This window comes from Homo sapiens, chromosome 7 (genome assembly GCF_000001405.40).
Source record: "Homo sapiens chromosome 7, GRCh38.p14 Primary Assembly".
Lineage (NCBI taxonomy): Eukaryota > Metazoa > Chordata > Mammalia > Primates > Hominidae > Homo > Homo sapiens.
The window spans coordinates 127,957,496-127,974,026 of record NC_000007.14 but is presented as its reverse complement, the minus strand read 5'-3'; the positions used below and the strand labels follow the sequence as shown (position 1 = coordinate 127,974,026).

The 16,531-nt window shown below is 42.1% G+C and overlaps 1 protein-coding gene across 2 annotated transcripts in view, besides 3 other annotated features; it reads right to left on the bottom strand.

Annotated features, from left to right (window-relative positions):
• Positions 1 to 16,531, bottom strand: part of SND1 (staphylococcal nuclease and tudor domain containing 1) — a 440,400-nt gene that overhangs the window by 118,567 nt on the left and 305,302 nt on the right. The gene's annotated exons all lie outside the window — the stretch shown is intronic.
• Positions 13,899 to 13,958: an enhancer, noted in NCBI's record as "active region_26592". NCBI's record gives its function as "activates an Ori minimal core promoter by ATAC-STARR-seq in GM12878 lymphoblastoid cells {active_cell/tissue: GM12878}" and the evidence as "EXISTENCE:reporter gene assay evidence [ECO:0000049][PMID:35858748]".
• Positions 13,945 to 14,145: a silencer, noted in NCBI's record as "peak6714 fragment used in MPRA reporter construct". NCBI's record gives its function as "represses an SCP1 promoter by STARR-seq MPRAs in K562 erythroleukemia cells {active_cell/tissue: K562}" and the evidence as "EXISTENCE:reporter gene assay evidence [ECO:0000049][PMID:32103011]".
• Positions 13,969 to 14,048: an enhancer, noted in NCBI's record as "active region_26591". NCBI's record gives its function as "activates an Ori minimal core promoter by ATAC-STARR-seq in GM12878 lymphoblastoid cells {active_cell/tissue: GM12878}" and the evidence as "EXISTENCE:reporter gene assay evidence [ECO:0000049][PMID:35858748]".

The window sequence follows — 16,531 nt, the reverse complement described above, 5'->3', positions numbered from 1 at the left end:
GGCAGTACTGTCTGCTGCTACTGAGACTCTGCAGAGCTGGGTTTTCAACCTCCCTGTCCCCTGACAAAAGGCAGAAACATAGCCAGGCTGTACACAAGCTTCCTTAGCAAGACAGCCCCCACAGAGGTTCAGGTGGTCAGGCCAGGGAAGGCCACTCAATTCAGGGCTGCTTTAGAAACAAAGGCAATTTGGACATAGTGACCACTTAATACATAAAAGGTCAGCTCTGCTAAATTTTGGAAAGGAATGAGAAGGGGGAGTAATATGGTGTCTCTCCTTCAAGAATCCACACAGGTCATTGTGGAAGATAGGCACACACATAGATATGACACAGTACAAAGCTATAGGTAGAGCAGAACCAAAAGAATGAGGTTGGTGAACAGGAGCAGTGAATGGGTGTGGCTGGGAAGAGGAGAGATGTTAGAGACCACCTCACCTCAGGTAGCTTCAAAGCCTCCTCTTCCCAAATCATTGACATTTGACAGTTCTAACCCACTCCTCTGCCCTTGGCTTGGCTGCTTTGTTTGCCCTTCCTCCTAGTGCCCTTCCTACCTCTTCTCAATCTAAGCCTCTGCTGTCAGATCCTCTTTTCTGACAGTTCAGAAGCCTCCGAACATCACAATGGTCTGTTCTTAGCTGCTTCCCACTCCAAATCCAGTCCCTAGGCAATCATTTGCTCTCTGTGCTTCCAATTCCACTATAAGCTGATGACTCTCAAAGTTTTAATCTCCATTTCTGACATTTCTATTGAATTCATCTGGACCTGCAAACACTCACAGTCATCTAACATCCAAGTTGTCAAAACTGACCTCATCAAACCTTGTGTTATTAACAAGCCAGAAAACTGACCTCTCTCTTCCTCATGCTCTACTATCAAAGCACCAACCAGGTTTAAAGCCTCCTTAAACAGGGCTGCTCCTTCCTCTTCATTCCCACTCTGCGGCCTAGGCAGGCTGCACACCTCTTCTCAGACACATGGCAACCACCTCCCAGCCAGACTTCCTCACCTCATTTGGGCCCTCTCCAATCTTGTCTCCATACAGCAGTCAAAGGGATCTTTGAAAATTACATAATGCAATGAAAAAAGATGACTTTCTGCTACATCCAGTAACATGGATGAATCTCATAGACAACAGTTGGGTAAAATGGCCAGGTGCGGTGGCTCATGCCTGTAATCCCAACACTTTGGGAGGCCAAGACAGGTGGATCTCTTGAGGTCAAGAGTTCGAGACCAGCTTGGCCAACACGGTGAAACCCTGTCTCTACTAAAAATACAAAAATTAGCCAGGTGTGATAGTGCATACCTGTAATCCCAGCCACTAGGGAGGCTGAGGTAGGATAATTGCTTGAACCCAGAGGGCAGAGGTTGCGGCGAGCAGAGATTGGGCCCCTGGGTGACAGAGCAAGACTCTGTCTCAAGAAAAAAAGGTAAACTAAGATTGTGATTCCATTTCTGAAGTTCAAAGATAGGGCCAGGTGCTGTGGCTCACACCTGTAATCCCAGCACTTCATGAGGCCAAGACAGGGGATCACTTGATCCCAGGAGCTTGAGACCAGCCTGGCCAACATGGCGAAACCCGTCTCTATAAAAAATATAAAAATTAGCATGGTGTGACATGAACCTATAGTCCCAGCTACTTGGGAGGCTGAGGCAGGAGGATCACTTGAGCTTGGGAGGCAGAGGTTGCAGTGAGCCAAGATTGTGCCACTGCACTCCAGCTTGGTGACAGTGCAAGGCTCTGTCTCAACAAAACAAAACAACCCCCCTCACCGCCCCCTGCAAAAAACCTAAAAACTAGACAAAACTAATCTATGATGACCGAGGTCGGAAAGGATACTGGTTATCTTTGAGGGGAGCACCAGGAGGGTCCTGTGGAGTGTTAGAAATACTTCATATCTTCATGTATGGTGTTTACTTGAAATTACATTCATATATAAAAATTCATCAAGCTGGCCAGGCGTGGTGGCTCACGCCTATAATCCTAGCACTTTGGGAGGCCGAGGCGGGTGGACTGTCTGAGCTCAGGAGTTCGAGACCAGCCTGGGCAACACGGTGAAACCTGGTCTCTACTAAAAAAACAAAAAAGTTAGCTGGGCGTGGTGGCATGCACCTGTAATCCCAGTTACTTGGGAGGCTGAGGCAGGAGAATTGCTTGAACCCAGGAGGCAGAGGTTGCAGTGAGCTGAGATCGCACCACTGCACTCCAGCCTGGGCGACAGAGTGAGACTCCGAATCAAAAAAAAAAAAAAAAAAATTAATTCAGCAAGCTGTATACTTACGACTTGTGTACTTTATTGTATATAAGTCACATTTAAATTTATTTTAATGACAATGTATCACCTATCTTTCATTGCTTCTGATAACTTACCTTAGGAGTTCCTAAACTAGGGGTCAAGAATGGGCTTAGGGGAGAGAGGCTGGTGTTTGTAAACCCAGTGAAATTATATGAACATCTTTGTATGTATTTTCTGAAGAGAAGATTACCTTGTACTCTTCAGATTCATTATTTACTGAGAATGTCTAAGACTCAGCGTCACCAACAACTGATCTATGTGGTACAATCTAAACAACCTTGCACAGACACAAGGCCCTTCTAAGACTGGGATATCTGACTTTCCAAACTTACCTTTAACCACTGTCCCTCTTCTAGCAGACATGACAGCCATAATAAACTATTTATCCTTCTGAATAACGATGCTTTTTCACAGCCCTCTCTCCTTCCTTTGCTGGTTACAAACCTTTTTCTTTCTTCATCTATCTGGCATTTTCTAGGGAGAAAGCCTATAGCCTTCTAAGATTTGTAAAATGGTTGGTGACCACCCCAACAGCAAAGAAACTGAGCCACAGGGAAAAGTGACATCGAAATAACTCTGTGCTGAACTCCAGCAAAACAATCAGTCTGCAAAGGGTGGCTTGGGGCTGGGAAGAAGCTCATTAAAGATTGTTGAAAGAATGAATAAATCTGAGTATTTGAATTCACTGCTTTTGTGGTCCTGTAAAGACGATCAGGTGATGGCAATCCACACTGGGGCCTTATCAGGATTTTTATTTTTTAAAACATTTATTTATTTATTTATTTATAGAGACAGGGTCTCGCTTTGTTGCCCAGGCTGGTCTCAAACTCCTGGGCTCAAGTGATCCTCTCACCCAGGCCTCCCAAAGTGCTGGGATTATAGGCATGAGCCACCATACCTGGCCCTAATCAGGATTTTTATTAACAGCTGAGGTGAAGGCATTGCAGATGTATGTATTTAATATACATATCACATGAGAGGACAAACATACAAACTCAATCAGGCAAGAATCAGGGGTTAAAGTTACCAAGATAAAATTGAAAAGGGATTAACAGCAAGTGCTCAACAGAAAATGAGAGACTGTGATATACTTTCATACAAGTTCATGTATAAAGGACCTAGAAAATATGTGTTTGACTACCATTCTGTGACACGCAGAACTTAAAAAAAAACTTGAGAAAGAAAATCACACTGCCTATCTTTCCTAGTTTCCCTGCCTAAAAAGGAAAAGACAGTGACAGCAAAGACATCTTCATGTATCACCTAAGCATTCACAGAATCACAAAATGTTATAGCTGGAGAAAGAACCTTAGAAATCGAGTCCAAACTCCTTATTTTTACAGAGGACGTTACTGGAAATAAGAGAAGTTCAATGACTTACACAAGGTCACATGGCAACTTGGCAATAAAATGCAGCTTATAAACCCTATCTTTTGATGGGCAGTTGTTCTTTCCACTGTATCCTGTCAGTTCAGGTTGAATGAACTTTATATTACTTAGGTTACCTGATTTATCCAAAGGAATTCTGTTTTTAGATGTCTTTTCCCAAGTGAACAGATAATCTGATAGACTATGATAGACTTTAAAAAAACATAGGAAATAGCTGTATTATCAAAACTAGGTTCACATACAATTAAAAGTTTTTTAAAGTACAACAAGTGACTATATAGACTACTGGAGAAGAAACTCACATAACAATAATGACTACAATGTGAAATTACCCTTCTGCTGCGTAGGGCACTGGATCAAGCACTTTTTAAATAAAGGCATCATGCTAGGTAATACTTAGAGAAACTCTAATTTATAGAAGATAAACTAAGGCAAAGATAGGTTAAGCAAGTTGTCCTAGATCACGGGGATTATAAAGGGCATATCCAGAATTTGAGACTGTTCCTGTGATTCTAAAATTCACATGTGAAATGAATACAGTAAAGTGCATCCCTCAAAAAGGAATATATCACTGAATTTACAAAGCTGGAGTTTTTTTTGTTTTGTTTTGTTTTTGAGACGGAGTCTTGCTCTGCTGCCCAGGATGGAATGCAGTGGTGCGATCTCAGCTCACTGCAAGCTCCGCCTCCCGGGTTCACACTATTCTCCTGCCTCAGCCTCCCGAGTAAGTAGCTAGGACTACACGTGCCCGCCACCATGCCTGGCTAATTCTTGTATTTTTAGTAGAGACGGGATTTCACCATGTTAGCCAGGCTGGTCTCGATCTCCTGACCTCGTGATCTGCCCGCCTCGGCCTCCCAAAGTGCTGGGATTACAGGCGTGAGTCACTGCGCCCAGCCTAAAGCTGGAGTTCTTATTGTATAACTTTCTCATTTTGTATACGAGCGAATGGAGCCAGGATCAGAAACCAGGCATCTGTATATTAAATCATTTACTTCTTCCCATACAGCACGTTACTGCACTAGTGTTTGAGGGGACAGAAAGCGGGCTAGCTGGTTCTGCTTGGACATGTGGTGGAAGCAGCTCGGTATACCTTCCTCCCTTCCCAGGTTCAAGGCACCCGTAATGACTAACCAGAGAAATGTACATTCTACTGTAATCCTCTTCCTCAGGACTCAGAACCCACCTACCCACCACCAACTATTTACTTCCACTGTGTTGCCAGTGTCAAAACTCCAGGCAAAGGAACAGTTACTAGGTAGTGGACTAGGCAATAGCAGAGGCAGCAAAAGATGGTGGGTGAACACAGAGGAGGTAGAGAAGGACGTGCAGGAGGCAACTCTGGATGGAGTTGAGTCGTAAAGACTGAGTAAAAGCTGCCCAGAGGACCATACCTCAAGCACAACTGTGGGGGCGGTTGCTGATTCTGCTCCAGATGTTTACAATAGAAGGAAGCCAAGGATTTGGGGAGTTGGGGGCAAAAACAAACTATATGTGCCCTGCCAGGGCCCTTGATTTTCTTCTGAGAACCACAGCCCAGTTCAGGAGATGTTGGATCTGTTGTGTTATGCTTGGGAGAGCACAAGCCAGTCTTCCTGCTACTCTTGATTCTAAGCCAGAAAAGGAACTGGCTTTGTGAAACACAATTGCATCCTGTGTGCTCTTTCCTCCAACAAGTTCTGTTATAATTTCTTAGACATCGAAAAAGGTAATTATTCAGACTCTGTGTGCAAACTATATGAACATAACATTTCACAATATCAACCAGATTTGGTTTTAATTTAAATTGTGATCTGAGAACCATTATCCCAGCATTCTTCTTCCCTCTGTCGATGTCTAATCAAACCTTACAAAAAGAAACTCAATGGGAGCTAGAAGAGTAAAAAGTGGACTATTTTATAATTCATCCCCACTTTACAAAAATCTTTTAACTTCCTACTATTGTGGAAATGGCTTTTCCCAACATTACATACATATATCAGACAACACAGACTGCAGATCTCTGTGTTACTGAGACAAATTTCAAAACCCAATGTAGAGTCATTGAAAGGGGACAGAGATATTTGATTGACAGGAGGTCACAATTTGCCAGCAGAAGGATAAAGAACTTGTCTCAATGGAAGATTGAAACTGAAAAGCTTAAAATATTCTTTGAAAAAAAGCAACATTGTTCTGACATCTAAAGAGGACAAATCAAATTGGTCTTCTCCCTCAGTCCCTGAAAAGGAGAGAGAGGAAATGGTGGAGTGGTAAGTGCCAGGTCCATCCCTAATTAAAGCTGTGTGACCCTGGCCAATTAATAACCTCGCAGAGCCTTAGTGTTCTCACTTGTTAAATGGAGGTAAGAGCAACCCTTCCTACCCCACAGCATTGTAATAAGCATCCAGGGGGAAATACATAGAGTAAAACACCCTGAGAAGTACGTGTTATTATATAAATTAATACTTACAGAGGATAATCTTCCTGATGAGTTTTAGCATATTTAATCATGGTCCGAGCCAGGGCTTAAAGGTGGCCACACTGGTGATGAGAGAGCTAATGACCTCACCAACGTCAACAGATATCTCTTGGAAATATTTTTTAGCAACTATAGTTTCCTGGCAAATGCACAGTAACCGTATACTAATGTAAAAGCAGGGTATATCGAGAAAAACTGAATATGGATAAATATATACAACACAATTAGAGAATACTTTGGATTCTAAAGAGCATGGCAGGAGTGAGGATAAGCCAGCAAGGGTAGGGTGCTGAGTAGGAAGAAAAGGCTTGCATCTCCTAGATCTTAGGACATGTTTCTGGCTGAAGTTTGTGAAGCATGAAGAACAGACAACAGCTGGGAAATCAGGAAGGGAGTACATCAAGCCATAGTTATTCATGCTCCCTGAAAGATACAGCATGGATGGCAACAAGTGATAGTTACATGAAAGCAGAAATTACATTCCTTGCTGATTTGCTCCATCGTGATTTCAGCAAACACATTTTTTCCCACCACCCCCATCCCTGCCACGAACTTGTGCATGAAGCATCAAGGTGGCATGAGAGTTTTCTCTCTGGATTCCATGTCAATAAATACTGATCCTACTGAGAAAGAGAGTGCTAGCTCCTAAACCAGGAGAACTATGCTTTCAGTATTGCCTCCGTTTCGACCTTCTGCCTTCTCCAGCACTCTCACCAACCAACCAACAGATCTAATGACTGTGCAACACCCACTGGGAGCATGGGGGAAACCGAGGGTGACTGACTGAGGTTCTCAGTGTTTCTGATTGCAGAAGGGTGCTACAGGATTTGGGAAGGGAAGCTAAGGGGTAAACATCCTGCAATTCATGGGAAGTCCTCCACAAGGAGGAAATGTTCCACCCAAATGCCACTAGTGCCCCGTTAGAAATATGCCGCTCTATCAATTTTGTTGATCCTTTCAAAAAACCAGCTCCTGGATTCATTGATTTTTTGAAGGGTTTTTTGTGTCTCTATTTCCTTCAGTTCTGCTCTGATTTTAGTTATTTCTTGCCTTCTGCTAGCTTTTGAATGTGTTTGCTCTTGCTTTTCTAGTTCTTTTAATTGTGATGTTAGGGTGTCAATTTTGGATCTTTCCTGCTTTCTCTTGTGGGCATTTAGTGCTATAAATTTCCCTCTACACACTGCTTTGAATGTGTCCCAGAGATTCTGGTATGTTGTGTCTTTGTTCTCGTTGGTTTCAAAGAACATCTTTATTTCTGCCTTCATTTCGTTATGTACCCAGTAGTCATTCAGGAGCAGGTTGTTCAGTTTCCATGTAGTTGAGCGGCTTTGAGTGAGATTCTTAATCCTGAGTTCTAGTTTGATTGCACTGTGGTCTGAGAGATAGTTTGTTATAATTTCTGTTCTTTTACGTTTGCTGAGGAGAGCTTTACTTCCAACTATGTGGTCAATTTTGGAATAGGTGTGGTGTGGTGCTGAAAAAAATGTATATTCTGTTGATCTGGGGTGGAGAGTTCTGTAGATGTCTATTAGGTCCGCTTGGTGCAGAGCTGAGTTCAATTCCTGGGTATCCTTGTTGACTTTCTGTCTCGTTGATCTGTCTAATGTTGACAGTGGGGTGTTAAAGTATCCCATTATTAATGTGTGGGAGTCTAAGGCTCTTTGTAGGTCACTCAGGACCTGCTTTTGAAAGGATCAACAAAATTGATAGACCGCTAGCAAGACTAATAAAGAAAAAAAGAGAGAAGAATCAAATAGACACAATAAAAAATGATAAAGGGGATATCACCACTGATCCCACAGAAATACAAACTACCATCAGAGAATACTACAAACACCTCTACGCAAATAAACTAGAAAATCTAGAAGAAATGGATACATTCCTCGACACATACACTCTCCCAAGACTAAACCAGGAAGAAGTTGAATCTCTGAATAGACCAATAACAGGAGCTGAAATTGTGGCAATAATCAATAGTTTACCAACCAAAAAGAGTCCAGGACCAGATGGATTCACAGCCGAATTCTACCAGAGGTACAAGGAGGAACTGGTACCATTCCTTCTGAAACTATTCCAATCAATAGAAAAAGAGGGAATCCTCCCTAACTCATTTTATGAGGCCAGCATCATTCTGATACCAAAGCCGGGCAGAGACACAACCAAAAAAGAGAATTTTAGACCAATATCCTTGATGAACATTGATGCAAAAATCCTCAATAAAATACTGGCAAACCGAATCCAGCAGCACATCAAAAAGCTTATCCACCATGATCAAGTGGGCTTCATCCCTGGGATGCAAGGCTGGTTCAATATATGCAAATCAATAAATGTAATCCAGCATATAAACAGAGCCAAAGACAAAAGCCACATGATTATCTCAATAGATGCAGAAAAAGCCTTTGACAAAATTCAACAACCCTTCATGCTAAAAACTCTCAATAAATTAGGTATTGATGGGACGTATTTCAAAATAATAAGAGCTATCTATGGCAAACCCACAGCCAATATCATACTGAATGGGCAAAAACTGGAAGCATTCCCTTTGAAAACTGGCACAAGACAGGGATGCCCTCTCTCACCGCTCCTATTCAACATAGTGTTGGAAGTTCTGGCCAGGGCAATCAGGCAGGAGAAGGAAATAAAGGGTATTCAATTAGGAAAAGAGGAAGTCAAATTGTCCCTGTTTGCAGACGACATGATTGTTTATCTAGAAAACCCCATCGTCTCAGCCCAAAATCTCCTTAAGCTGATAAGCAACTTCAGCAAAGTCTCAGGATACAAAATCAATGTACAAAAATCACAAGCATTCCTATACACCAACAACAGACAAACAGAGAGCCAAATCATGAGTGAACTCCCATTCACAATTGCTTCAAAGAGAATAAAATACCTAGGAATCTAACTTACAAGGGATGTGAAGGACCTCTTCAAGGAGAACTACAAACCACTGCTCAAGGAAATAAAAGAGGATACAAACAAATGGAAGAACATTCCATGCTCATGGGTAGGAAGAATCAATATCGTGAAAATGGCCATACTGCCCAAGGTAATTTACAGATTCAATGCCATCCCCATCAAGCTACCAATGACTTTCTTCACAGAATTGGAAAAAACTACTTTAAAGTTCATATGGAACCAAAAAACAGCCCGCATAGCCAAGTCAATCCTAAGCCAAAAGAACAAAGCTGGAGGCATCACGCTACCTGACTTCAAACTATACTACAAGGCTACGGTAACCAAAACAGCATGGTACTGGTACCAAAACAGAGATATAGATCAATGGAACAGAACAGGGCCCTCAGAAATAACGCCGCTTACCTACAACTATCTGATCTTTGACAAACCTGAGAAAAACAAGCAATGGGGAAAGGATTCCCTATTTAATAAATGGTGCTGGGAAAATTGGCTAGCCATATGTAGAAAGCTGAAACTGGATCCCTTCCTTACACCTTATACAAAAATCAATTCAAGATGGATTAAAGATTTAAACGTTAGACCTAAAACCATAAAAACCCTAGAAGAAAACCTAGGCATTACCATTCAGGACATAGGCGTGGGCAAGGACTTCATGTCCAAAACACCAAAAGCAATGGCAACAAAAGCCAAAATTGACAAATGGGATCTAATTAAACTCAAGAGCTTCTGCACAGCAAAAGAAACTACCATCAGAGTGAACAGGCAACCTATAACATGGGAGAAAATTTTTGCAACCTACTCATCTGACAAAGGGCTAATATCCAGAATCTACAATGAACTCAAACAAATTTACAAGAAAAAAACAAACAACCCCATCAAAAAGTGGGCGAAGGACATGAACAGACACTTCTCAAAAGAAGACATTTATGCAGCCAAAACACACATGGAAAAATGCTCATCATCACTGGCCATCAGAGAAATGCAAATCAAAACCACTATGAGATATCATCTCACACCAGTTAGAATGGCAATCATTAAAAAGTCAGGAAACAACAGGTGCTGGAGAGGATGTGGAGAAATAGGAACACTTTTACACTGTTGGTGGGACTGTAAACTAGTTCAACCATTGTGGAAGTCAGTGTGGCGATTCCTCAGGGATCTAGAACTAGAAATACCATTTGACCCAGCCATCCCATTACTGGGTATATACCCAAAGGACTATAAATCATGCTGCTATAAAGACACATGCACACGTATGTTTATTGCGGCATTATTCACAATAGCAAAGACTTGGAACCAACCCAAATGTCCAACAATGATAGACTGGATTAAGAAAATGTGGCACATATACACCATGGAATACTATGCAGCCATAAAAAATGATGAGTTCATGTCCTTTGTAGGGACATGGATGAAATTGGAAACCATCATTCTCAGTAAACTATCGCAAGAACAAAAAACCAAACACCGCATATTCTCACTCATAGGTGGGAATTGAACAATGAGATCACATGGACACAGGAAGGGGAATATCACACTCTGGGGACTGTGGTGGCGGCGGGGAGGGGGGAGGGATAGCATTGGGAGATATACCTAATGCTAGATGACGAGTTAGTGGGTGCAGCGCACCAGCATGGCACATGTATACATATGTAACTAACCTGCACAATGTGCACATGTACCCTAAAACTTAAAGTATAATTAAAAAAAAAAAAAGAAAAGAAATATGCCGCTCTAGTCTTATCTCTGGGTACTCAGCCACCATCCACATTCCATCCAAAGTGAACAACTTGCTGCACCCTGCCCATGCTTTGCATTTTCACACAGCTTAGAATAGAGCTGCCCCAATCTCCTTGTTCAGGTCAGAACATAATGATTTTAGCCAAAGGCTGTTTAACAACTTAGAGAAAAATAGATCAAACAGAATGCGATCATCACAATAAATATAAAGTAATTGTTGATTTGACTTGAGGTTCTAAGAAGGAAGAAAATATGTTCTACTCTCAAGTTTTTTACAGACTCTAAGAGATCATGGAGTCATTTGAACTGATGCTTAGAGAAGCTTTGGCTCAGAGAGGTGTCATTTCAAAAAGGCAAGTTAAGAACATGTTATGCCTGATTGCAAGTTGTAGAGCTGAAAGTCCAGTGGATGAAGCCTCTGTTTTGCCACTCACACAGTCTGTAACTATGACAATGCCACTCCATTTCTTTGTGCTGTTTCCTCATCTACAAAACCAGACAGTCGGATAGTTTTCAATGCTTGCTCCAGAAATAGTGTCAGAGCTGCCTGCAGAGTGGGGATGGAGAATAGACTGGGCCTGATGGTTATGACCCACACCATAACCTAACCTTTCAGATTTATATGCTAGCCAGAAAAATGGTAAGAAACATAGGAAACATGGGCATTCCTAAAGACAGAAAAGCCATACACATCCTGCTTTCTGTTGCCAACAGGCATGTCTACATTTGATAAAGCCTACGCTTTGCCATTTGGGGGAAATACACTCTTCAGTTTTCTTCTTCATGGACAGATAACACATTTTGCCAAAGATGTCTGAGATTAAGGGAGTAGAAATGCAACAACTCTGCACACGTCCAGAGAAATATATACGTATATACAAAGAACCTGGTTTTGTTCAGCCTCAACCAAGATCGTGTATTCTTTTGCTAACACTCCTCTGTTTGATTTGCAGTCAGTTTGCTTACACAGCACTATTTGGGTTTCAAGGCTTAATTTATTTGACTATATTCATTCCCTTTCCCCATCTTCCTTCCAGCACAGCAATTCCAAGCAGAGAGAGAACACATCATACTCCCTTATACAAAGAGTTCCTCAGCTTTATATTAGAACTCTCTGGAATACTTTTTCTTTTTAGTAACCTCAAGAAAAGGCATAAATTATGTGTACCAATGTAGCTGTTCTACCTTTAAATTCTCTCACTCATTTCTAAGAGTTGTGCAATATGATCTTAGGATACTTATAGGATCCGATCACGTGATGCACAGGGCAGGTGCTGAGAGCATTCAGGCCAATCAGCTCTCACAGGTAATGATAAGAGGCGCTTCGGCCAACAAAGGGCAACTCTGTTGTTGCAGGAGGGTGTCCTGTTGATTTTCACGTAGCTTGATAAAATATACCCTTTTTCTTCCAACTAGGTCTCAAAGGTCTGGCGAGGGAGTGGACACTGGCATTTGCACTGATTTATTCTGGTTGAGAATGGACACATAGGAAATGGTAGAAAAGCTTGTTCCAACTCAGGCAATCTTTCTGCTTTCATAAGCCCACAACGATACTAAAAATGAAGCATCAGAACAAACAGAAGCTGATGACGGCAATAGAAGAAAATGAGGCTGATTAGACAATTTCACATGGCAAAAGTAGTATTTAAATTTTGGTTGTTTTGGGTTTAGGTTCTGCTTTCTTCCCTCCTCTCTTGAAAATGAGTGCTTTTGCACGTGTTTTTTACAGTGGCAAACACTTAATCAAAGAATTTAATTTTATTTGTTGTGCTATCATCCTAAGGTTTCTTCTGTTCTCAAGTTTCAGCTTGCTTTTCAAGTGGCTCGGAATAAAGATGCCTGGATCTAGATCTTACTATCATACAGCTTTATTTGTAAAGAAGAAAATATGTAAGTAAACACCATTTGTAGTTACTGTATGAAAAAAATCCTCATTGATTCTTTTAGAAAATACACTTATGTAATATATTACAACTAGATCTTCCTAAGTTAACCAAGTATTGTAGTTTTAATTTTGTGAAGCAGGTGTGTATATATTTTACATTATTTATACATTTAGTAACAATCAGGATAAAATGCTAGGGCTGTGGAAAAACATACAGTGGACCCACATACGAGTGAATTTACACTGTCCAAAATGATAGGGCTGTATTTAATTAATGCCCTCTCTTGGCAGGAAGAAGGAAAGCTGACTTTGTTAGGGTTTGAGGCACCCTCTGCCAGAGATGTGCCTACACCTCCCAAGTCCAGGTGGAGAGGAATGGACACATTTGGTACTAAAAAATTCTTCTCCCAAGACCAAACTTCTCTTGGGATTCCCCTAAGCTTTATCCCAGGATGTTTCTGGGCAGCTGGCAGAATAGTATTGAAACTCACAGAAGTTGAGTTTTCATTTCAATTTCACTGTAGCACTGCAGCACCTGATATAATCCCTTAAAGACTCTCAGTCTGGTCCTAATCTCTCTCCTAAAATACAACACAGGGAAGATCTGAATATAGATTGCAACCTGGTCCATTTGTTCTTCCTACATCAACACAAAGGAATCATGGTGGATACAGATTTAATGTCTATTTTCTCAGCTACTGATAAGCCTAGGGCTACAGAATATAGCTGAATGGAGAACCTCATATAACCAGGCTGATTGCACTTTATTAATTATTCATCATTACTTAACCTCAGGTGGAGACTCAATGCTCAGCAAAACTTCTGCACTCCACCCTTTTCTAGATGACTGTAATTCAATGCTTGCTTTCTTCTACCAGAGATTGGAGATCTGCAAGGAGGAACAGTATCAACCTCCAAAGAGTGTTTTCTAATGTGTACGTTTTGTGTGGGCTGGGTGTCATTTTTGGTTGTGGCAATAGCTGGGGTGGGACGGTGTGCTGCTAATGGCATTTAGTGAGGAAGGACCAATAAAGTGAATGCGGGTAGTCCCACACGATGCACTTACTATCTGTCTTAGGTACTGCCTATGCCCACCATCGTGCTAGGAAATTAGCAATGAGAATCCATTTTAGAAGCTTAAGAAAAACAGGGTGTCTGTGACAGCAATGATAATATTGGCCTAGATATTGTAATGTGAGCCTGGGAAAGCAGCGACAGAAGCAGAGGTGCTGCTAGATTGGTCTTGCCACCCGGTAAGTTCCAGAGACGAATGGCCAGCAGCTAGAAGAACAGATCTGTTTCCACTTCCTTCTTTTCCACCTGGGCAAGAATAGATAGCAGACGAGAGGCAACAGGGGAACCAGAGGGAACATCAATGAACTCTTCTGCTGGGTGATGTTTACCCAGTAATGAGTGAAATGAAAACTGATACAACATAGATTTCCATATCATAGGGGAATACCATGGCTACTAGAGCCAATTCATTCAACAAATATGTATCAAGTGCCTACCATGTGCCAGGCATTGTTCTACATGCTGGGGAGATATACATAGCAATGAACAAAACAGACCAAAATCCTCACCTTCTCGCAATTTAACATCCTGGTGGAGAGAGACAGACAAGCCAGTAAAATGCATACCATGTTGGATGGTGACAGTGCTATGGAAGAGGGAGAGGGAATGGGGTAGTTTTGCGATTTTAAAGAGGACGGTTGGAGAAACATTTATTGAGAAAGTAGCATTTGACCAAAGATCTGAAGTAGTAGAAGGACTGAACCTAAGGATATCCAGAAGAGAGTGCAAAGGCCCCAACACAGGAGTAGAGGCAGTGAAGTGGGAAGAGCAGGAGATGAGGTCAGAGAGAGGAAACAAAACACAGGGAAGACAGGCCACACTTCCAGGCCACAGTAAGAACCCAGCTTGCACTCTGAGTCAAATGGAAAGCCACTGTTAGAATAGAATGGTACCCAGGGATGAAGACATACATAGACAGCTACATGTGTAGGAATGTGTATATAAAAATGACTGCAATGCAGTCTGCCAGGGAAACACTCCTAAGTGGTATAGCCATGATGATAGGGATCTGGCTAGCACACTGCAGAGTCCCAAGACTGCCAGCGGACGTCTAGCTATTGTTTATCCCGTTTCCTCACAGAGTAAAGACATAGAGCACACAGCAATGCCTGGGAAAGCTTGGGAGGGAATCACCCCCACCTTCTTCTGAACTCGTGGGCTGCTGCTATTACCATCACTACCACTCTAGGATGGTGTTAAATTAGCCAGTTTAATAACAACAACAAAAAACCCCACACAAATGTAGCTTCCAATGGTGTGTTCATTTTTATTAATTGGCTAATTTAACACTGCCTTAGAACCATAATAAGAGCAGCAATCAGTGAACCCGCCAGCATGCTGCATGCTCTCATCATCCCTGTACCCTCAACTCTCATCTCAGGTGACACTTTCTATGTGTGCAGAAAATTCAGGGGACAGAGAAGTCAGTGCTTCTACTTGGGTACTCATACCTAATGCCTCCCAAAAGTTGTCCAGTGGTTTACTCTTCTGCAGCTCTCCTCTCTCTATGTATTCTACAGAGGCGGGGAAAGCAGGAGAGCCCCACTTACCTCTTTCAAAATGGAGCAGGCAGAGTTTCATAAGGGACAGGCACTCTGGACGTAAGCATGGATGAAAGTGAGGTAAAATGGTCAAGCTAAGATGTGTCATATTTATCCAGGGGTTTCACATACCTTCACACAGAAGCTCAAATCCCTGTGAGAAACCCGGACTCTAGCCTTACATGACTCTATTTAAACATTCCTGCCAATCCTGACACTGAAAGGTGGAGCAAAGTGGCTCAGGCTAGCCCTAGTTCTGCGCATCTCAGGGCCACCATGCATGGCTATGCAGTCCAGGCCCTGAATAGTTCCAGAGTTGATACGGACACAGACGACTGGACAAAGTTTCCTCACCAGCAAAATAAGGGTAACAGTGAAAATAAAAATAGGGTTGTTGTATGTATTAAATCAGATAATTTACTATGAAGCACGTAACAGCATTGGTAAACATTAAGTGCCTACTAACATAATTCAGAAGAGTGATTCATCCTAATTCACTGGTAGCAGGGACCAGTGAGATTTGACAGGGAAGAAGCTCCCAATGGCTGATCTGAATCTTGGATCTGGGTTGGCCCTATACTACTTAGCTTTCAGCAGATTCTACTGGCCTTTTGTTTCATATAGTTTGCTTTGTATCCTCATGCCCCCTAGCCTTCAACACGGACACCTGCATGAGCTGAAGAAATAGGTGAATACTTGGTGATCACGGCCCAATTAACTGCGGCTAGGCTGGGGGCAGTGGCACACGCCTGTAACCCCAGCACTTTGGGAGGCCGAGGCAGGTGGAATGCTTGAGGCAAGGAGTTTGAGACCAGCCTGGCCAACATGGTGAAACCCCATTTCTACTAAAAATACAAAAAATTAGCTGGGTGTGGTGGCTCGCGCCTGTAATCCCAGCTACTTGGGAGGCTGGGGCAGGGGAATTGCTTGAACCTGGGAGGTGGAGGTTGCAGTGAGCCGAGATTGAGCCACTGCACTCCAGCCTGGACAACAAGAGCGAAACTCCATCTCACAAAAATAAATAAATACATAAACAAATAAATAAAATAACTGCAGCCATCATTATTATCACACAATTCTTAGTCTAAGAATCCTGAGAAATCCTGCTCTGGAAGACCCAGAATATGTACTGTATAGCCAAGGCTAGCAAGGCAACGGTATAACTTTTTGCCATTTAAAAGGTACATAACAAGTGGAATAGAAACAACAGCCTTCCAAGAAACACAATGTTAG